Source organism: Homo sapiens, chromosome 11, assembly GCF_000001405.40.
Source record: "Homo sapiens chromosome 11, GRCh38.p14 Primary Assembly".
Taxonomy (NCBI): Eukaryota; Metazoa; Chordata; class Mammalia; order Primates; family Hominidae; genus Homo; species Homo sapiens.
Genome location: NC_000011.10, coordinates 81,398,069 through 81,422,358, shown reverse-complemented (window position 1 = coordinate 81,422,358; position 24,290 = coordinate 81,398,069). Strand labels below are relative to the sequence as shown.

The 24,290-nt window shown below is 34.6% G+C and overlaps 2 annotated features.

Annotated features, from left to right (window-relative positions):
- Window positions 233-1,044: an enhancer, noted in NCBI's record as "OCT4-NANOG-H3K27ac hESC enhancer chr11:81132357-81133168 (GRCh37/hg19 assembly coordinates)". NCBI's record gives its function as "activates a minimal SCP1, AML or CMV promoter by ChIP-STARR-seq in primed H9 embryonic stem cells {active_cell/tissue: H9 hESC(primed)}" and the evidence as "EXISTENCE:reporter gene assay evidence [ECO:0000049][PMID:30033119]".
- Window positions 1,045-1,858: an enhancer, noted in NCBI's record as "OCT4-NANOG-H3K27ac hESC enhancer chr11:81131543-81132356 (GRCh37/hg19 assembly coordinates)". NCBI's record gives its function as "activates a minimal SCP1, AML or CMV promoter by ChIP-STARR-seq in naive and primed H9 embryonic stem cells {active_cell/tissue: H9 hESC(naive and primed)}" and the evidence as "EXISTENCE:reporter gene assay evidence [ECO:0000049][PMID:30033119]".

Genomic DNA, 24,290 nt, shown 5'->3' with positions numbered 1-24,290 from the left:
TTATCCTCACTTTATAATTTAAGAAACTGAAACACAGATAAGTAAGTGGAATAGGCGGTACCTGGTGGAGCTGGGGACCAACTCAGGCAGTCTGCTTTCAAGTGTCTGTGTTTTTAACCAGTAAGCTGTATCTTGAAATATGTCAATGCATATATGTGCATGCATATAGGCTATGTACATTTCAGTATATGTGTGTACTTCTGTCGGTGTGTATAAATCATAAACTGTTGTGATAAGTCCTCCTTTATGTCTACTTATTAGTACCTTTTCTTAAATGTGCCATCTGACTTTAATTAATATAAATAACTATTTATGTAGTCATTCATGCATCATTTGCGTAATATATGATGTATATTATTGGTGAATATATGCATCAGTAAATTAACGGCTGAAAGGATTAATCAATCAATAGATGCTAGAATGTAAGAATTAAAAATATAAGTAATGAAAAAGTAACTGAAGATTAACTGAATAAATTAATTCCAATTTTCTTTCTTTTTTTTTTTTTTGAGACTGAGTCCCGTTCTGTCGCTCAGGCTGGAGTGCAGTGGCGCGATCTCCGCTCACTGCAAGCTCCGCCTCCCGGGTTGAAGGGATTCTCCTGCCTCAGCCTCCGGAGTAGCTGGGACCACAGGCGCCCGCTACCACGCTGGGCTAATTCTTTGTATTTTTAGTAGAGACGGGGTTCCACTGTGTTAGCCAGGATGGTCTGGAACTCCTGACCTGGTGATCCGCCCACCTCGGCCTCCCAAAATGCTGAGATTATGGGATTGAGCCACCGCGCCCGGCCTTAATTCCCATTTTCAAGGAATTCTTTTTATTAAGCATGAAATTTAGGTCAGATACAGAGCAGAGAAAAAGGAGAGAGGCCTCTGAACTCAGAGTGCTCATAGTGTAGTTGTTTTGCAAAACAAAGGGCAGAGACTCATCAGCCCAGCAGTATTACAAAGAAAAGCTAGGCTGCAAAGGAGATAGTAATCATTCCTAAGTGGTGCCTGACTACCTGCATATCAGAACCAACTAGAAACCTTCAAAAAAAAAAAAAAAAAAAAAAGATCCATCGCCAGTGTCCCACTCTAGGCCAATTAAATCCAAATATTGGGGGCTAAATTCTACATATGTGAAATTGTCGCAGATGATTTTAATGTACAGCCACAATTGCGAAGCAATGGTGAGAGCTAGGAAAAAGTCTGGAAGGCTTTATAGAGCAGACAATATTCTCATTGAATCTTGACAGGCCAAACCTTTGCCAGGCTAGAACAATGCAGGGTAGTGGATAAGTATGGGATCAGGACTGGAGAGGGGAGGGTAGGAAGGGTGAGAAAAGGGGAAGGAGAGAATTGCTGTGCATGGAGAGACTTCTTGGCAGAGGAGTTTTAAAGCTGCTCTCTCCTTCTGAAGCCCTATGAGCCTTGGGCCCTTTGTCTTGTGCTGTGTGCCTTTTAATCCTGCCAGACAAGGATTAAAATACTCAGTCAGGCTCACGATGTTCTGAACTTATTTAAGATAATGGCCTTTATCAATTGTGGCTCTCCCCCTGCAGGCCTCATAGGACTTTTCAGCTTCAACTTTGACTTCAGACTCATACTTCCCTAAATAGCTTTTAAATGGATTTTAAAATGCTCCATCTAAATTACTTAAAGTCTTACCTCAGCCACCCCATCAATTTCTAGAGAATGAGCTCTTGCCAACAATCAAGATTTTGTAGCACTTTGCAAGACAAGTAAAAACTACAGCCCTTGTCCTCTAAGGAGTTTACCTCAGTGAGTTAGGTGTGACCAGGTGCTTAAAAATACATAAAATGCCATGATTTGAAATTGGATCTAGAAATGCTGAATCTGAGATCCCTGACTTTAGAGCTGTTAGCTACTTTATTGAGCTTTTCATACAATTTCAATCTGACAATATGGAGGCTGTAACCTTTGGTGTTGCTCAGAATAAGAGACTCCAGCACTTTGAAAATCATCTAAAGAGAGTCATTAGATGTTTTGACTATTGTCTTTGTTAGAAAATAACAATAGCTAATGACTCTAATAGCCAGAACTGTTGAATACTGCATATGTGTTAGGCAATATTCTTTTTTTAAATTTTATTTTATTTTATTTTTTATGATACTTTAAGATTTAGGGTACATGTTCTTAACACTTTTTATGCATTAATTTATTAAATGCTTTCAGCAATACTATGAGAGAGGCAATTTATAATTTTCAATTGATATGTGAGGAATTCGTATCACAGAGGTTACATAACTTGTTCAAAGGCTCTAGGCTTTTAAGGGGCAGATCTGGGATACAAATCCAAGCAGTCTGGTTCCAGTGCCTGTGTGCTTAATGTAAAACCAGACATGATTTGTGTCTGGGTCCTCATGCCCTTAACATTTTGACATTCTAAATACCTAAGAGTACTTTGCAAAGTGATTACCCAGATGCCTGACACAGTAAATACTCAATACATACTAAGCATTATGGTAATAGTATTTTCTAAATATTTTTAAAAGAGAGATGAAATTATAATTTGAGTAATCTATCATGTTTTTGAGTTCTACAGTCATTATTTTATTACTTTTCACAGAAAACTTGAACTGTAGATATAGCCAGGTTCATTTTATAGGTATAGAATTGGGAACTCAGTGAACAAATCATTAGTCTAAGGTCACACAACCAAAAAGCGGTATAACTGGAATTGGAGCTAGGGTTAACCTGGGGTTTTTCCTCTGAAATGGTCCTCCTTCTAACAGTTGACTGGTTAGTCTTCTCATTTAGATTGGCACATAAAGAGGGTAAAACTTCACCTTCAAATAACTTTTAGCTGCAGAGTTCAAATTTATCATTGTGTCTACAACATACAATATAAAGGATCATAGAATATTTAATGTACACTAGAGCAGCAACTGAAAGGATGAAGTCAAAATTAATTAGTTAAACTTTTAAATATTTACCTATGGCTACAAAATGAATTGTGTGTGAAGAATATTTTGATCCAAGGGAATTTAAAAATATTACCAAAAATGTAAAAATTAGAATATTGATGATTTCCAACACAGATAGTTCAACGACATAGAATAAAAACAATGTGTACCTAAAAACATATAGTTCAAAGGAGGAAGTTTACATGTGAACATGAGTGCCTAAATAGGGCAGTGCCTACTATCTGACCAGTTTGCTTGCTGGCACTTCCTGAGCTATACGTTGATTGGTGAGACTGTCTGTCTGTCCGTCTACCTATCTATATGTATATTTCAGTGAAAATGCCTAAACAGCATAAAAATAGGTTATTCCTTTATAATACATCTGATATGAGTATGAACTGTGCAAATAGCAGCAAATAATAGCTCCCAATTTTGAATGCCTATGAATGATTGACACCATTTTAGATGCTTTATTACATGACCTCATTTAATAACTATAGCAATCATATTTTCTCCATTTTGTAACTAAATAAATTGAAGTTCTGAAAGTTTGGCTAACTTACTCAAGCTCACACAGGTAATGTTAGATATAGGATCTGATTCTACCCTCACTTCTTCCAGTTTTCCACCGCCTCCGAAGAAATCAGAGACTTTTTAAAAGTTCTAAGGTTCGGGGAGGTGGGGGAGATTTTCTTTCTTTCCTCTTGTGTTTTTTTTTTTCTATCTTTCTTATTTTTTTAATTACTATTTCCTGAAACCCAATAGTAACCATTCACATTTTCTTTATCCTCAACAACAAAGGTGTATGCTGCTTACATAACAGTCTTCTGAGCTTACCAGCATAAGGCATGGCATAACGAGCCAAGTTACAAATAGATGTGCATTTATCACACCTCTTTTCATAACTCTAGTCCTTTTTCTTCTGATAAAGGGTGCTCTGGACATTATTAAGGAAATAGTTCTGAATATCCCTCAATTTATTGAGTCATTTATTTTTATTTATAAGCACTGCTCTTTAGTAAAACATGTCCTGCAATCTGCCTCAGAATTGTGCCACACCAGGGTTTTAGGCTGCTTTGAGACTGAACCTAGTTAATACAGACTTGGCAAGTTTGCTGTTATAAGTAGCTTGGTTTGTGTTTGGTTGGCTGATTGCTTTTGATTTGCTTTGCTATTCCTATGGACTGGTTACATTTCTTTTGATTTTAGTACTTGTTCCATTCTTATTTTCAGGAGACTCTGATTAGTAAGTCAGGGTGAGGTCCCAAAATTTGTATTTGTAGAAATGTCCTACATTTGGAAACCAACTCCAAACAGAGGTTACTATTCTTCACTACAAAATCCCACCAATGACTCCTTTCAACCGTTCCCTCCTATGTATATAACAGTGTCTTCTTCCATCACACAACAAAGGATAAGAACAAGTGCCTTCCAATACTTAGAAACTTCATTTCATACTTGCTTCTATAAAATATGAAAGCAGTTACACAAAAATGGCTCGATCATTTTTAAAGTGTCAGGTCTTTGCTCTCTTAGGATTCTTTCCTGCAGAAGAACATTTATATTTCTTCTAGTTCCCCTAATAACAATACTGCAAAAATAAAATAAAATAAAAAAGACTTTTTATGTCTCTAGTCCATTGCCAACTTTAATTCATGACAGTCAGTATTAATTCAGGCCTAAGGCCCCTAAGGAAGATAATAGATGCCTAGACCTTTTTTTTTTTTTTTTTTTACCACCTCTACTGCTTCTACATTTGATTTTCTCATGTTTCATCAAGGTTTGCTAAATCTATTTAGTCCAGATTTCAGCCTCAGGCATCTCTAAATGTGTTAGTTTAATACTTTGTCATCTCGTCTTTGCATTTTTCATCTAGAATAGATAGTTTAATATTAAGAAACCACAATAAACTGTTTCATGACAAGGAAAAGATTGATTCTGGGAACCTCCCTCAAAAACACAAAATTGATTTTTCTCAATTTGTGCTGAAATCATAGAATGCTTGGTGAAACGTATCTACAAGATCTCCCCTTTAGGGATACTGGTATGAAAAGAATGTTTACAGTATTTTCCTCACTGTGTTTCAGCCTGTGAGATAGGAAAGGTTATACAAATTAGGAGATTTCCATGAGTCCAGCACAGGGAAAGGCTAGAAAGATGGTACCAGAAAAAGACCAGAGAAATCATGTAGGGCTAACATCACTGAGCTCTCTGATCTTAGAAAAGTCACTTACACTTTCAGAATCTTAATTTCCTTATCTATAAAATGAAAATAATAATATGCTAAGTTATTGATGGGAGTTGCTGAGGTAAATATATTATTTATATAATTATTTTAAAGTAATTTTTATATATTAAAAATATATATTATTTTTATATGTATAAATTATATATATACATCTTTTAATTTGAGAAAGTTCTGGCTCTATTGCTGAGGCTGGAGTGCAGTGGCATATCTCAGCTCACTGCAACCTCTGCCTCCTGGGCTTAAGCCATCCTCCCAACTCAGCCTCCAGAGCAGCTGGGACTACAGGTGCATACCACCACTCCCAGCTAATTCTCATATTCTTTTGTAGAGATGGGGTTTCACCATGTTGCCCAGGCTGGTCTCAAACTCCTGGGCTCAAGCAATCCACCTGCTTCAGTCTCCCTAAGTTCTGGGATTACAGTTGTGAACCACCACACCTGGCCAAAATAGAATTTTTAAATAGCTAAAAACAGGGCTCTCCTGCAATCCTACTTCTAGATACACATCTTGAGTGAATAAAATCAGTATGTTGAAGAGATAGCTGCACTCTTGTGTTTTATTGCACCATTAATCATAATAGCCAAGATATGGAAACAACCTAAGTGTTCATAGATGAATGGATAAAGAAAATGTGAGCTATAACACACATACACACACACACACACACACACACACACACAGAGGGATATTATTCAGCATTAAAAAGGAAGTCCTGTCATTTATGATAATGTGAATGAACTTACAAGACATTATGCTCAGTGAAACAAGCCAAACACAGAAGGACGTATACTACATGATCTCACTTACAATGCGAAATATAAGAAACTAAAATTTATGGACACAGAGAGCAGAATGGTGGTTGGAAGGAGCTGGAGATAGGGAAAATGGGAGATGGTCAACTTATACAAACTTGCAGTTATATGACAAGTTAAGTTTTAGAGAACTAATGTATGGCATGGTGACTATAGTTAATAATGTATACTTGAAATTCGCAAAGAGACAAAATCTTAAATATTCTCATCACACACACACAAAGTTAACTATGTGAGGTGAAAGGTATGCCAGTTAGCTTGATTGTAGCAATCATTTCACAGTATTTCTGTATATTAAAACATCACATCATACACTTTGAATATATCTATTTTTTGTCAATTATACCCTCAATAAAGCATATAAAAGACTTTCATACAAGACTCCCATACAAATATAGAATGACCATGTGTCACCAATTTATTAAATAATTAATAGGAACACCAGAAAGACTATAAAACTAGTACCAAAGTACCAAGAGCAGTTGAGCTGTGCATTTACAAGAATTTTGTCTTAATAAACAATCATTACTAATATTACAATAAGATTTTCAGGTTATATGCAAAACTAGTTAATATCATACAGGACAATAAAAGTATAATACACTTGAGTTACCCTTTTTTTTTTTTTAGGAGGAGAGATGTTTCTATTTGACACCACAAATTTGCAAGTTAACATGTAGCTACACAGTATCCGGGTTCCAATCAAATAGCAAAGTAAGATGAAGATATATTATCCTAGATCTGTGCTTCTCAAAAGGTGGTTCTGGGACTCCTAGGAGTCCTCAGACCCTTTCAGAAGATCTACACGATAAAAACGATTTTATTTTTATTTATTTTTTATTTTTGAGACGGAGTGTAGCTCTGTCGCCCAGGCTGGAGTGGTGCAGTGGCGCCATCTTGGCTCACTGCAAGCTCCGCCTCCTGGGTTCACGCCATTCTCCTGCCTCAGCCTCCCGAGTAGCTGGGACTACAGGCACCCACCACCACGCCCAGATAATTTTTTGTATTTTTAGTAGAGATGGGGTTTTACCCTGTTAGCCAGGATGGTCTCGATCTCCTGGCCTCGTGACCTGCCTGCCTCAGCCTCCCAAAGTGCTGGGATTACAGGCATGAGCCACCGTGCCCGGCCCTATTTTCTTAATAATACTAACATATTATTTGAGTTTTTCACTTTGGTTCATCCATGAACAGTGTTTTCCAGAAGCTACATGATGTATGACGTAATAACAGATTTAGAATAGAAACACAGAGGAGAATCCAGGTATCTTCTCTTAAGCCAGATATTAATGAGACTTGCAGAAATCTTAAGTCAATCCTACTCTTTCATTAATTTGTATATGTTTGGGAAATATCTTTCCCTTATAGAAACAAAATTTATGTTAGCATGAAATGGGTTTTATTTTACAATTAATACATATTTTTAAAATTATCTGTTTAGAATTCTAGTGTAGTAAAAATTACTAGATATAACCCACCAAATGCAAACATTTTTGGATAGTCAACATTTTAAGAGTATAAATGGGTCCTGAGACCAAAATGTTTTGGCTCTCCTGTCTTAGAGAATTAAATAAAATTGGTTTAATAATACACCAGAATCCAATGAAAAAGTGCACATTTTACTCTATTTTGCCCGAATTCTGCATTTTGGACAATATTTCTTGGCAGAGGGGATAACAAAGTGCCTGCTATAAGAGTAGAAGTTCAATTATCATTCCTCTTTTAATTCTTCTTCTGGCTGTTGCTAGTGGACAAATCTAGTTACAAAACAACTAATATTTTGAGTTTGAGGTAGGATAATGTAGGAGAGAATCCTTCATTATTTACGGCAATCCACACCACTGCCAGTTAGGTACTTATAGCTAAGTTTGAAGTTGCTGAGGAAAGAACCACTGTGGCCTTTGCATTCCTGAAAATTTACATGCAAAGTTTGACAACTAGCGAGTTGTGTGGTCAGACGTTTCTGCTTCCTCATAAAATGAACATTTCTTGGATATCCAATGACCCGCTACCCATTGGTCATTGTGTGGGACAATATAAATCTGAAGAAACATAAGGCCAAGGCGTGGATTAAGGAGTTTACCAGAAAATTGGAACAAATTTCCCAAGAAAACCCTTAGGAAACCAATGTGTAACTTGTGATGTGAAACCTTTCAGGGGGCTTCCCGTGGCCCAAAGCCCTACAAAATGTGCCCATTGCTACTTCCTGGGATCTCGGCCTTAGAGTCACTCCCTCTGGAAACTTGGCGAATATATCAGACAAGGTTAAGTCCTCCAGCCATCCACTTTTAGAGCACCCTGTACTTTGTAGCTCACTGGGCAACTGTATTTCATTAAATATTTGTGTAAATTGTTGTCTGATAACTCTTCTGACATTCTGTTGGTGATCGCAGTGCAGGATGAAATTCTGTCTGTTTTGTTCACTACTGTAGGCAGCTTTCCTTTTACAGTGCCTGGCACAGAGAGGGTGAGAAATACTTACCAAATGAATAAGATGTTCTGATGTACAGAGGATGTAGAAGTTAATACAGAGGTGGAATGGGGTGGGAGCATAGGTGGGGAATATAAAAAAAAAAGATCAGTAATGAAAAGATCTCTAAGCACAGAAATTCGTATACACGTAGCCTAAGATGTGAAAAAGAAAGTTCTGAAAGTACTGAGTGGGTTATTGTTTTTGAAGCTTGAGTATTTAATATGGTAAAGAGAATAAGGGGAACAAAGTTTCATTTTATCCATCTGAAGTCATTTATTTATTACACCAATTCACTTACTTTCTTAATCGTTAACCGTTTATCTATTACCCATTACATGTGAAAGATCCTGGTCATCAAGAGTTGATATTTCAGTTAAGGATATAAAATATTTAATGTGGAAATGACAAAATAGTAATTACAATGTAAAATATAAAACAGAGCTTGGAAATTTTATTATAGGTTTATATAAATCTGGTAATATTTTTATGGAAAGCTACTAGTATTTCTTCTTAGCAAAGATAATGTTTTATTAGATATTATATGCCCAACACCTAACATAATACTTGACATAAAATTCATGCTTGGGAAATGCTTCCACTTTCAAATTGTGTAACGAACAAATGAAATAAAATAGAGAGATGGGAATGAAAGCAAACAAAATTTATTGTAGTTATCATCATAGTCATCACCACTACTGTCATCATCATCTTCATTATCACATTAACTATATTTATTGAATTTTATCTATGTGCTAGGTACCAAGCATTGTACTATGCAGTTTGCATAAATTATCTCAAATTGTATTCACAGTTCTTCAAAGTAAGAATATCTTATCATTTTCAGATGAGGAAACTGATATACAGAAAGTTCAAGTTATCTTTTCAAGTTTGACAGCTAGCAAAGTTTAGAGTTTAGGTTTGTCTGACAGCAATGACTGCCCGATTACCACTAAATCATTGTAGAAAAAAAAAATAAGATGCTGTATCCTAACTATAAACATGATTTATTTATAGTCTTAAGTTATAAATGAATTTGAACAAAGCAGATCTATTTCAGAAAGAGTAAAGCACAGATATGGTCCTCAGACATGCAGTACTCCATCATTCTAACAATACTCAATTTTCAATATTGTCAGAATATTATAATTAAAAATATTAATTGTAAGTACACATATGCTAACATGCAGTGATCCTTTGGGGTAAAAATGTTTGCTTTCTTGTATGTCAAATGTAATATGTCAGGGATCTGGCCATTTTAGAGTCAATTATATTTTTAATTCATATTTTCTTAATGGACTTTCTTAATGGCAAGCAGAGTCCATTTAAGATAAAAAACAGCAACATAATTTTATTAGCCATTAAAAACAATTGAATGTAAATTTTCTATCATGGGTCCTTATATAATGAATATTAGCATTTGAGGTTATTCCTATCATGTGTTTTTAATGAGATAAGTGAAACACTAATTTAAGAAAGTGATCATCCTTTAACCTGTAAAAAGACATAAATACACTCTTTACCATCATATGAATGTGGTGATGATTTATATTTCATCTATTAAACTACATAAAAATAGATAGTTTAATAAATTTCTTTATGCCCAGTTACTAATTTCTCCTGTACATATCATTAAAATTAAGTATGCCAGGAAATTTGGAACTATATCAGAAATTGAGGTCAATTAGGGACTCGTTATGAAGGAACAGTGAAATTGATTTGCAACTGTATCTTTTTGGGCTTCCATTTTCTAATGTTAATAATAAAATCTTAAATCTGACAAAGAGAGTCATTAAAGTACTGCACAGGGAGGGTTATTCATTACTTCAAAAGTGTATTATCTGGAACTTATTCCCTTCTGCTACCAAGATTTGTCATGTCCAAGAGATTAATGACATTGAATATGAACTATATAATTGATTGGCTGACATCAGTTACTATGATCCACATTCTCAGTAGATTTATGTGCCTTAGTGTTGTTCTTTTATTCCTTAAAAAAATTCTCCTAAGGAGCAAGTATTACCTTTAGAAGATTAGTGCAGCCTATGGTGTAGTCTGTTTCCTATATACAGAAACTAGTCCAATATGGTATCATGGTGAAAAAATAGCTCTCAGAGTGAATGTGTACATTAGTGGTGCATATGCATGTATGATGTTGCACACAACTCTCATTAAATAATCAAAATGGCCATGGATAAAATCAAAAGAAGGTCATGCAGGGCACTTCAGGACACCATGAGATTTTCAGCCAGACTGAAAGACAGGCTATGTATCCAAAGTCTACACTAGAATCAAGGATGTTAATAAGGTATAGGCATGTCCACTATCTCATACAACACAAATGTGTTAGTTTTTTATTCCTATTACCAAAGACTTAGCAGCGTAAAATAGCACCTGTTTAGTATCTCATGGTTCTGTAGGTCGGAAGTGCAACAGAGTGGCTAGATTCTCTGCTCAGCATCCCACAAGGCTGAAATAAAGGTGCTGCTGGGCTGCAGTTCTGATCTGGGGAGTAGGCTTGTAGGCCCACTGCTAATTGGCATATCTCAGTTCTCATGCTTTTCACATGGCTCTCTCCATCTTCCAATCAACATAGTCCTGTTGAGTCTTTCTTGGGCACTGAACCTCTCTGACTGCCCATTTTGCCTTTTAAGGATTTCTGTGAATACAGTGAGGTAACCCAGATAATGCAAGATCATCTCCCTATTTTAAAGTCAGTTGATGAGTAATTTTAACTGCATACACAAAGTCCTTTTTGCCATGTGAAGAAAAAAACACAACCATGGAAGTAACAAGAAGGAACAGAAATTACTTGGTATGGAGGAAGAAGGAAAACAAAATTCTGCCTTCTACAACTAGAAACTTGAGAGATACATGTTTAGAGAGCATAAAACTTGAATTTCGCACAATGAGAAGTAATTTTGAGAATACATTAAGCAACAGTGTTGTCCTGATTAAAAATAGAGATTGCCAAAGATGTTCGCATAATTATGAATGACAGATTTGTACAGAATGGAAAAATAAAAGGGGGATCACATTTAGAGGGTGTTTGTGATATTTGAGGCTAATGTAATCTACTCTCAGTGGCAGGATGCCTGGTTACAAGCTGGAGGGATCATCAGTATAAAAGATGTGGCTATTAGACCTTTGTCAGATAGATAGATTGCAAAAATTTTCTCCCATTAAGTAGGTTGCCTGTTCTCACTCATAAGTGGAAATTGAACAATGAGAATGCATGGATACAGAGAGGGGAGCATCACACACTGGGGCCTGTCAGGGGGTTGGGAGAAAGGGAAGGGAGAGCATTAAGACAAATACCTAATGCATGTGGAGCTTAAAACCTAGATGATGGGTTGATAGGTGCAGCAAACCACCATGGCACATGTATACCTATGTTACAAACCTGCGCGTTCAGCACATGTATCCCAGAACTTACAGTTAAAACAAAACAAGCAAACAAAAAAAGCTGTGGGAAGGATTGACTCTTAAGTAGCATATGTTTTGTTTCCCTTAAATATTGGAAAATAATGTTAGTTTTCATTCTTTAGTTCACACAGCTCATATCTAAACCATAAAAAAGTAATTGAAAGAATCTTTTTATGCATGAAATATGTTTTAATAAGTAGAAAAAAATTGCCAACTTGTAGCTTTACCTACATTTTATTCAATCTGACAACTGCAAAATGAATAAAAGAATCTCTGAATTTTGATTAAACTGTAAATGCCTTTGAATTATTGTTATCATCAATTGAGATTGTTGACAATGTACTTAGCACTAGATAAGACACGGGAGACATAACTTTTACCCAAGGGTTTTTAAACCCACATTGTATTAAAAGCATGCTGTGTAAAATGTAATTCATTTCAACTTCACCAAAATTTTTCATTTAAAATTCTATTTATGGTGCTAGCCAAAGAAGTACTTACACTTTAAAGTAAAGCAAGTAAAGCATTCTAGTGTGATTTTTTAAAGCATATTGCAAATAAAGCCGTTTCCTTCCAATAAAGAGGACTTCTATTTTATAGACTGCAATTTTAATTCCAGATAGTCATTTATGAAAGTATTTGCCAATAGGAATAGAGAAATCAAGGTGACTTTGAATGATTCAGTTTAAATCATCCCAATAAAAAAATCCGCATTAAATTATCATCCTCATACTGAGAAAGCCGTATATTTAGCTGAGGGAACTGACTTTATTTAGTGGCCGTTCTGAACTACAAAGTATGCTAGATGATTTCCACATTTTAATAAATCCTCAAAATGTCATAAAATTTTAATATGTGTATTCCTTTTTATAGAAGAAAAAAATGGGATTCAAGGAGTTTAAATCAAACATTGAAGATCTTCCACAGTTGACCCAAGTCAGATTTCCTACTTGCTCATTCACACTTCTTTCCTATAAAAAGTGTCATTCATGAGCAATCTCATAAAAAGTCATCGGATTTTTCTTATGTTAATTTGAAATCCTGAACGAGACAGTCTATATGGAGTTATTTAGATTTCCTATTTTATTGACTACTTCACTATTCATAATCCAGATATTTGAGTACCAAGAAACTGACTAAAATTATGAATCATTGAAACTATTGAGATAATTATTTTATTAATTTTATAAGCCATCTTATTGGCTTGTTTGTAGAAGGGTTTGTGAACCAGGTCTAAAAGATAGTGTGCCTTACTTCTGTTACCCTGTCATTGATAAGAATTCAGTCAAATCACCATATAAAGTACAAAGCAAGTTAGGGAATAAATGTAGACTCAGGGAAAAAAAAGGGTAAACAGTTTTTGCCTTTCTAAGTAGCTAGCACGCTCTATTACATTTTTTTTTATTATACTTTAACTTCTGGGGTAAATGTGCAGAACGTGCAGGTTTGTTACATAGGTATACATGTGCCATGGTGGTTTGCTGCACCCATCAACCCATCATCTACATTAGGTTATTTCTCCTAATGCTATCCCTCCCCTAGTCCTCCACCCCCTGACAGGCCCTGGTGTGTGATGTTCCCCTCCCTGTGTCCAGGTGTTCTCATTGATCAACTCCCACTTATGAGTGAGAACATGCGGTGTTTGGTTTTCTCTTCTTGTGTTAGTTAGCTGAGAATGATGGTTTCCAGCTTCATCCATGTCTCTGCAAAGAACATGAACTCATCCTTTGTTATGGCTGCATAGTATTCTATAGTGTATACGTGCCACATTTTCTTTATCCAGTCTATCATTGATGGGTATTTGGGTTGGTTCCAAGTCTTTGCTATTGTGAACAGTGCTGCAATAAACATACATGTGCATGTGTCTTTGTAGTAGAATGATTTATAATCCTTTGGGTATAGGCCCAGTAATGGGATTGCTGGGTCAAATGGTATTTCTAGTTCTAGATCCTTGAGAAATTGCCGCACTGTCTTTCCCAATGGTTGAACTAATTTACACTCCCACCAACAGTGTAAAAGCATTCCTATTTCTCCACATCCTCTCCAGCATCTGTTGTTTCCTGACTTTTTGATGACGTTTTACAATATCTTCTGGTCCCACTCAATCAACTACTTCCCTTCTTCACATAAAAACCCTTTCTAGCCCTTCAAGACCCATCTCAGGTATGTTTTCCTTCAGAAGATTTTCCCCCAACTTCCTGAATAGATGCTTCCTCTTTGAGCTTTTATTATATCTTGTGCATGCTAAAATCCCAGAATTTTTCATACTATATTTGAATCTGTCCCCAGAAAATGAGTTTCATCTTTGCATTTCCAAAATTTGGCTTAATACCTTGAATTCAAAGTACTGATTGAGTGAGTGCATCAAAGATTCCAAAAGCATCAGTTTTCCCTGGATTGAAAGTAAAATAAATAACATGTTTATTTGAATTGTTTTGTTTTCAGTGTACTAAATCTATTATTCTAATTAGATTTGGAGATAACCTAGACAGACTCACTTCAATGAATCTTGAATTTTATCTTCGTACTTCTTCAAAGCATCGGAGCAGAGTACAACAGTTATTACATAAACATTTACTACTAAATAGATTTGTTAGTCCTTGCTTAATAGTAAGGCCTAACGTGCTTTATACTATGGATGGAGTCAACAAAAGTTTGTTAAATAGATGAATGAATACGTTATTGCCTTACCAGATTTTATGCATCCCAGTAGATCAGCTTTTTCAGGTTCCCTTCTAAGAATAATGCACACAAAAGGAAAAAATACAATTAAAAAAACAATTATATTGAGTAAAATCCCTCCTTTATTAAACTTTAAAAACAAAATATACTGATGTACTTAATAATGACTGTACTTGCAAAATAGCAATGGGCATAAATAATGCTTCAAGGTGTCTTCAATAACTATAATGTGCTCTATAATTGACTTGGATCATCAATGTTTTTTAATTAAATCACATGAAGCATTGATTATATTATAACCACTTTGCTAAGTAAAATAGTATTCTGTTTCACACAGTAACTCATTTAAATTCAATTCTTCCATGGAGGAAAGCCAAATATTATAATCCTTAGATCACTTAGGATTTGCTAAGTAACAAACTACTATTAATAGTAATGCCTCGAAAAACAACCATTTATTTTACTATTTTGCAGGTTGGCAATCTTCACTGGGCTAAAGTGCAAGGCCCTTCTGGTCCCAGCTGGCTCACTGATGAGTATATGGACAGCAGAGGGGGCTGGCTAGGTATTGACTATTCTATGATGGCCTCAGCTAGAACACCTAATTTCCACTCCATATGGTTTTCCAACCTCTGTAGGCTACCTGCAGCTTGTTTTACATGCTGGCTAGGCTGGTTACCAAGACAGCATAGAAGTGGAAATGGTCTTTTGTGGCCTTTACTAGGGACTAGCACAAGATCACTTCTGCTGTAGTCTCTTTGTTGGTCAAAGCAAGGCCAACCCAGATTCAAGAGGTAGAAAAATAAACTTCAGTTTCTGACAAGAAGAACAGCAAGTGAACGGGTATAGATATTGAAAGTAGAAAAACTGAAGTCATTTTCTGCAAAAAAATCTAGCACATCTATTCTACGGATGGATGTATTTAGGATTAAATTAAATATTACTTGATTGATAACCTAAGTAGTAGATTTATTTAACTCTGGGGCTCCCCTATTCAAATCCATTTTTTTTCACTAAGTAGAACAACATCTTTCTAATAATATTCTAAAGCTTCTTTCTTCTGTGACAGATAATTTATGTGTGTGTCCAGAAATTTTAAAAGGTTAAATGGTTGCAATTATTTTTGACTTCATATTGTTTGCCTCTTTAATTCAGCCCAAATTCTTGTGGGTTGTGTTATGAAAACAATGTGAAACTATATTAAAATACCCCATTAAGTAACATATGATAATATGTTTAATGTCACAGTAACTTGTTCTTGTATCACTATATGAAGAGACAAACAGAGGGAGGGGGGATAGGGATGAGAAGGAACACAGAGTGCTCCACTGGGCAGGCATCACAGAGTGACAATAGTAACGAAGGAAATGTGCTTTATGTTCAGAGAATTCCTTCCTCTGATGGGTTTCCATAGCTCTGAAGTTTTCAGATTAGGAGTCTTCTATATTAGTTAGTAAATATGACTTGTCAAGATCACCAGAAAGCCAAGGACGGAAACGAGAACTTCATTTAAATATTTTACTCCAAAGAACCAAGTTAATCAATGACTTTGACAGGGTATATTTACCAATAAAGTATTCTTAATTGAGGCCTTCTTAGGTGAAGTCCAAGACTGACAAAATTTTACTGTACCTTAAAGCCAGATAATGTGTATTTAAATACACACACACACACACACACACACACACACACGGCAATCATGTTCAAATACTTTTGAAAAAATAGTGCATTTATTTATACTGTGCTTAAAATTAAAATTATGTTTCTTCTGTTTTCTTAATACAGCCCTATCAATATTTTTGTGTAGTTGACATACCCAGCATTATTTTGTCTCATTTTGCCATATGAGGAAATTGAGATTAATCTCAGCTGAGGTTAAGACAGAGGAAATCACTTTCCCACCACTTCCTGGTAGACACATTTTAAAACACTTTTAAATGCAATTCATCTCCCCATATTCGAAAAAGAAATTTAATATTAACTATTTGGAATTATATTGTCAAATGTTTACTTTACGTTTTCTCTCTCTCTTTCCAAAGGCTTAAAGACTTTAGGATTATACAACAGGAAAATATGAGAAAAGTGTGTAAAGATTGTATGGAGGGGTTGAGTGAATAAAAGAGCATATTCTTTTTATTTCTTTTTTTAGAGATAGGGTCTTGCTCTGTTGCCCAGGCTAGAGTGCAGTGGTGCGATCATAGCTCACTGCAGCCTCAACTCCTTGTCTCAAGCGATCCTCCTGGCTCAAGCAAACCTTCATATGTCATAACATGCCAGAAGTTATCACATTTGTGAGAGACAGAACAAGATGAGTCAAACTTATATTTTTATACAGAACCCTCACCTCTGGTAATAGCATTGACACATTCGTAAGGGCAGGGCCCCATGACCCAAACATCTCTCCTTTAAGCCCATCTCCCAGTATTGCTGCATTGGGTATCAAGTTTCCAACACGCTAACTTTGGGGGATACACTCAAATCATAACATCCGGAGAAAAAATCTTCTTCATAATTAGAGGTAAACTTAATTTTCAGAAAGAAAATTTATTACCAAATAAAATAACATTCTAAAGGGAATTTTTCAAAGTACATATTTTTCTAAAGGGGAGGTCAAAAAATGCAGTAAGAATGTGAGAAGAAAAGGAAAGGTAAACATGTGAGTAAATCTATACCACTTATGACTCTAACAAATGCTGATAATTATTCCTTAGTTTTAAAAATAATAAGAATTAAAATTGTGTCCACAATGACACAGAAAGATTGAGGAAATAAATAAAGTGACCTAAAAAGTTCTTCTTCCGTCCTTGAAGCAATAAAGGTTCTAAATAAAAGTAGTTAGGAAAAAATGTATATACTCTGTACTTCCTAAGTCACTCACTAAAATATTAAAAATTATCTGTGTAAGTAGCAATATATTAAAAGAAAAAAATTATAATGAAATAGCTAATTCCAAAAAGTCAATAAAAATAGAAAGAAGGAAAAAAGGTAAAAAACAAAAAGAAAACCATAAGATGATTTATTTAAACTCATCTATAGCTGTAATTACATTTAATGTAAATGAACTAAATATTCCACATAAGGTTAGGATTGTCACACCAATTAAAAATACAAAATTCAACTTTATATCGCTTATAAGAAACCATCTTAAATATAAGGACAAAAGAAGATAAAAATAAAGTGGGAAAGTTGTGTATGTATTATCAAAACGTTAATGAAAGAAAGCTTGTTTTCCCTATAGTACTTTCAGACTATATAGATTTTAAAGTGAGAATTCTGATTAGACATAAAAAGGAAAATTTCTAATTTCTGAAGGTATAATTCCACAAATTAAGCATAACAAATTCTCCATGTGTTTTTGCTTAATACTGTAGGATAAGAATATGTAAATTAAAACTAATAGAAGTATAAAAAAGGAATTACTAATCACAGTGGGAGAGTTTAATGTGTCTCCCTCAGTAACAATAAAATGAATATATAAAAAGATAATTTAAAAATTTCAAATCATGATTAACATACTTGACCTTATTTACCTATATAAAAATTCAGTTAATAATACAGAACACATTTCTTTTCAAAATTCAACTGGAATATTTACCCAAAGTAACTAAAGAATGGGCTATAAGGCAAGCCTCAACAAATATGAAAGTAATAAAATCATATAGAATAGTTTTTTTACCACGGCAAATTTAATCTAAATATCCATATCATAAATATAACAGAAAAATTTCTATATGCACAGTAACAATGCTCTTCTTAATTATGGGACAAAAAATAAGAGTAAAATTAGAAAATATCTTTAATGAATCATAATGAAAATACTACATATCAAAATTCCCAAGATGAAGCCAAAATAGTCAAAAAGTGAGAAATGTACAATTTTCAGTGTGTATATTAGAAATGATAATGCTAAAAAAAAAAATGGCTATAGTATCCATGTCAGTAAACTGAAATTAATAAGAGGATTAAAAAGTAGAAAGAAGAGCAATAATAAATATAAGGACAAAAATTAATGAAAAAAATATGCAAAAGAGTAATATTAACAAAGCCAAAAGTTAATTATTTACCAAGATAAATAAAAGTTGTATGTTTAGTAAATCATAGAAAGGTGAAAAAAAAAAAAAAGAAAAGAACAGATGGCGTAAATTGTCACTATCAGATATGAAAAAAATGGAGCATCACTTCAGATTATAAACATATACTGTAACTACAGTAAGAGAATATTATGAATACCTTTAAGTAAATAAATCTAAAATTTTAAGGTAATATGGAAGAATTCCTAGAAAAATACAACTTGTCAAAACCGACAAAAATGAAATGGAATAGCTAAGTAGTCATATACCAGTTAAACAAATGTATTTCATAATTTAAGTATTTCGCTGTGAAAACTCCAGATTCTGGTGACTTCATTTGCAAATTATACTAAATTTTAAAGAAGAAATTATACAAATTCCACAAAAATTTCCAGGGAACAGAAAAATAAAAAGGAAACATTTTGCTGTTTATTTTCTGAAGCTGGCCAAAACTACCCTAACCAGATCTTAAATTAAGAAAGTATGTAGTCTGATCTCTCTCATGACTAGTAATAAAAATCTTAAACAAAATATTAGCAAACCCAATCTAGAGATATGTCAAATAGTAACACATCAAAACCAAAATGAGTATAACCCGGTATTCAAGGTAAGTATAAGTAATTTAATATCAATCAATGCAATTCACATCATTAGACTAAAAGATAAGAGTTAGAAAGTTCACTTTCTAAGTAACAGAAAGCAGTGATGGCTGACATATATGAGTAATGGCAAAGATGGTATGAGATGAGATATGTTTGGAGATGTAACCAGCTTTTGTCTGACCTCATGTTCTTAGTAAGAAGTCTGGATTCTAATCTTTGAACAAAGTAAATTGTCATGGCTACAGACTACTTCTAGGCTACATAAGGTGATGGGCTATGACTTTCAACTTACTTCTTGCCCTAGGTGTGCTCAACCCAATGGATTGATCGGACTGTGCCTGCACGTAGTAGGCATCAGTGACTCTTGCTCTAAGTTAATGAAGTTAAACCACTGTTTCTCAACCCTGACCATACATTAGTACCCCCTGAGGAGCTTTTAAATATCTAGATGCCCAGACCTCAGCCAAAGCCAGTTAAATCATTATTCCTATAATTAGGGAAAAGGTATTTGTATTTTAAATATCCCAAAGTGATTACCATGTGTAGCCATGGTTGAGGACCACTGAGTTAAAGATTAACAATATTCACAAGGCTATTGAGAGGATTCAATTAGATAATCTGTGTAACATTTCTAAATACTAGCTCTACTATAGGCTGTACTGCATTCTAGAGCTTTATATGTCTCTTGAAGGATTTTCTGGTTTTGTGTTAGACCACACCTGTATGCCGAAGACATTATTTTTTTAAGAAAGCCTGCCTTTGTAGATCCTCTATAGATCACGTGTCAAAGAACCATTCTCTTTAAGAACCATTCTCTTTAAAAATAATTTCCCAGCTTTCTACTGCAGAGTGACAAAAAATTAGATTACTAAGGAAAAGACCACTAAGGAAATTTCCAACATCAACTTCACATGGAATTTGTAAGAATAATACATCTGTAGACGTAAAGAGGCAGCTGAAACTCCAGCTCCAAGGGTCTGAGTCAGGATTAGCAAGTGTAAACAATTATGAAGAGAACTAAGGCCAAGTGTCTGATAATTAGATGTCACTCATGTTATTGCATTTTTTTCTCAAATTCAAATACCTTGTTCTCTTTCAATAACTACGTAGTGGGATGAAATGCTATTTTAATTTTAATTGTAACTCAGAATCCTAAAATAATTTATCTTCATTTATCAAATCATTAACCCACCTTTGATAGCAGATTTGGTCATAACAAACAGCAGAGAGAAATGAACACATAGAAAATAAAAGTAGAATTCTGAAATGCCTTTCACTTCTTTTCTCTTACAAGATTATAAAACCAAGTATTACTTAAACAAGGAGAAAAATGTATATATTGATAAAGTAAGAACTTTTGCATTTAGGTTTGACAGTATTATTTACAGAACTTTCTATAAAATTTAGACAACAAAGAAGACCAAAATTTCAGAATTTTCAGAAACGTCAGACCAAAATTTCTAGCCAGAAATTGAACCATCATTCTTGTAAGAATAAAGCATTAGAAACATTTTATAAACATTTTTCCAAGTTCTGCTCCTTTTTTACAAAACGAGAAAGAGAATGACTGGGCTTCCCTTTGAAGCTACAGCAGCAAGGATGGGAGATATTTAAAGTAGGTACAGTGGTAGCTATGAGCCATGTAGGGACTGATGTCCAAAGAAATAAAGACAGAAGTCTTTAAAAAAAAAAAAAAAAAAAGAACAGTATTTAGGGAACACCAATTACTGTAGGCATTAGGAAACAAAAGGTGAATAAGGCACAGAAGGTCTCTGTTTTCCCAGATTGTATAATCTAGTGAGGAATAGGCCATTCTATGGTGAATACCGTAAAATGTGACAGTGTACAGATTGCTGTAGTGAGCACGTCGAATCTAGGAAGTCGGGGCAGGCTTCATACAAAGGACATTCTTTAGTACCTGAAAACAAGAAGTAACTATTTATCCAGAAGGAGATTTGGAGAAGAACATAGAGAGGCATGTTCCAGATAAAGGAAAAAGAATGTGTCAAGACTCAATGATGAGAGAATGCGAGCACAGCTGAGAGATTGAAAGAAGTTCAGAATGCCTGGAATAGGATTGAAAGAAAGAGTAACAGAGGTAGTTTCAAGACATGCTTAAGAAGTAGAATTAAGAGAAAATTCTACCATACTTAGTTAAGGAGTGTATATGTGATACTAAAGACAATGGGCCCCAGTGAACAATTTTTAAAAGGAGGTGTAGAATCATCAGATTTGTATGTAAGAAAAATTATTCTAGCTATTGTGTGTACAAAGAATTAGAAAGGGTCAAAAGCGAGGCACATTTTGAAGAGTGTGTGGAAGAGATAATGGTGGCTTAGATTGGAATGAAAAAAGATGGACAGATATGGTGAATAGTTTGGAGGTAGAATTGATGATCCAGTGATTAAATGGACATAGAAGGAGAAGGATATGTCAAGGATGACTCCCAGGTATCTAACTAGAGCAAAAAGAGCACATTGGTTACCAGATTTAGGCAGTAAGACTAATTCCAGAACTCACAACTAATGCACAGAGTTTATAGACAGAGAATTCTTCACTGGGTTAGGAAATGATTGAACAACTTGGTTCTTCCTTTGGATACCCTGCCTTTTTCACTGAGTTGTTCAAACTGAATGTAATAGTATATATGAAATGATTGAGGACTCTATACCACTGCCAAATACAATGACAGTTGTGCAAGGGGGACAGGGGTGAGGAGATCTGTTTCCTTTGGATCAGATACCATATAGTAAGTAGAAATAGAAAGACTGATTCTTCCATAGGAGAGAAATGAAAATCTGCTCAGGATTTGACTCTAGTTCTAGGCAAGATGTGTCATGAACTTGAGATAGTTGTCTTGCAGCTGGTAGATTTCTGGGTGTGGGGATATTAGAAAAGTTCATATCAGCCCTAATCAGTATTGAGTTATGAGCAGCAAAATCAATTTCAGACACCAATGCCTAGTGGGGCAAGGCATGCTTAAGAATAACTTACACACCATGTAAGGCTGATCCTACATCTTCTGTTTCTGCAAGGGATTAGTAGCTGGAAATACTGAACAAACAAGGTCACGCAAATCAATTTATGGTCCCAGCAAAGGGAGACTACATAAAACAAGCAGAGAATAAAATATTCTGAAAACGTGGCAATGATCAGTTAATATGTCAGGGAAAGCCAATGGCTTTGGAATTGATGCTAGATGTTCTTAGGAAAATTATAATGTCAAATTTAAATATAAGAAGAGTAACTCATTCCAGCACCTCTAGCAATGAAGAGAACGTTTCAAGAATATAGGATTTCTATCATAAATGTTTTAGGGGATGATTTTGTAAGCTACATAATAATATTTTCACTATTCAAAGTAAGTAGGAGTCTGTTAATAGAGAATGCACTTCGGTGTCTCTTGGAAAGCAAATGTGGAAAAAAAAAATCCTGTAAGAATAAAAGGCATCAGTACGACAGAGGTGTTCACTTTCCAAATACAATCTACTTCTATGTTCAAAACTTTTTAAAGCATTCATATGCTAGTCCAGCAAATGTTTAAAGCTTACTCTATGTTCAACCAAGGCCAGGATAACTAAGAAGAAACTATCTGTACTGAAAGAGCACAAGATTCTCTTAGCAACAATTATAACACAATGAGAGGAGTAAATGAGAGTAAAACTAGCAAAATAATGTGGCATCCAGACATCCAAAGGAGAGGTGCCTAACAGCTTGGGGAGTTTGAGAAAGATTTCACTTAGCAGCCAAAGTGCAGGGTCATGAAGGATGAAGAGTAGTTCACCAAGTGAAAAAGGAAGGACAGGGTGCTCTGGATCACCATAATGGCATTGAGTGGCAGAGGAGAACAACAGGTTTAGGAAAAAATGAGGAGTTTGTTGTTTAAGGAGACAGAGCTTGGGAACATATTATAAAGTACCTTTTATGCCTTGTTAAGGGATAAGGGATTGCAGCTTCATACAACAAAACGTGAGGAATAATGAATAGGACTTAACAATGAAATAACCAATTATTTTTGGTAAGATACTGAGGTGTTGCTGAGGAGGTGTGATCAGAGGGTAAAGTAAACAGTAGTAGAGACAGGTTAGAAATTGTCTAAAAAATCCGAATAAGAGAGGGTAAGAGTCTACACTTAAACAGAGGCAGTAACACAGAGAAAACTCAGGCCAGAAGACAGAATTGACAATTAATACAGAATTGACAAGAGATATGATTTGTAAATATCTACTTAGCTCACAATGCCTCATAATTATTAATAATAGATTCAGTAGCTTGGATGAGAAGACCAGAGTTCTACCCAGAATTTGCACTGTTTTTGGTTGAGGCCAGGCCTTCTCATGCCTGGTGATTTGTTTAGTAATTTTACATACTTATTTGTGGTTCTCCTCACTCTCACCCCCAATTTTTTGTCTGTAATAATTTTAAAGTGGGAAACTCTACAAATTTTTAAAAATGGTTCAAGTTATTTTATAAAATAGTTGAATAATTTAGAACAACTAAAAGAAAGAGGCTTACAGACCTAAAGCAGCAGGAGTTTATAAATGAAAATACATGGTAGACAAGCTGAGTTCCTTCTTTTGATAAATGCTCAAAATTAATGGGTAGAAGGGAGAATATGATATATTTAGGCATTAGCAAAACATCTGATACTATGTTTGATGATATTTTACTTGCAAATTTGTTTTAAATGAGCTTAGATGACAAGAAAATCAGTCAGATTAGAATTGAGGAAAGGGTTATAAACAAGAAGTAACAAATGCTGGATCTGGTCTTATTTAACATTTTTATTAAAAATCTGGTATGAGGAAGTAAATGGCATATTAATAGAAATGCCAAATGACACTAAATTTACAGGATTACAAAGTGCGCAGATTGCAAACTGAGGAGAAGGAAATTGACTAAAATATAATAAAGATTTGAATATAAGCAGAAAGAAAAATAGACACAAGTTTTATTTCAATAATCAGCTATGTAAACATTTAAACTGGAAAAAAATGGCAAAGGCAGTTGATAGAGTATCAGAAGAGATGAGTTCTAGTCCCAATTTAGGTAATTCCTAGGTGGTTGACTTAGTG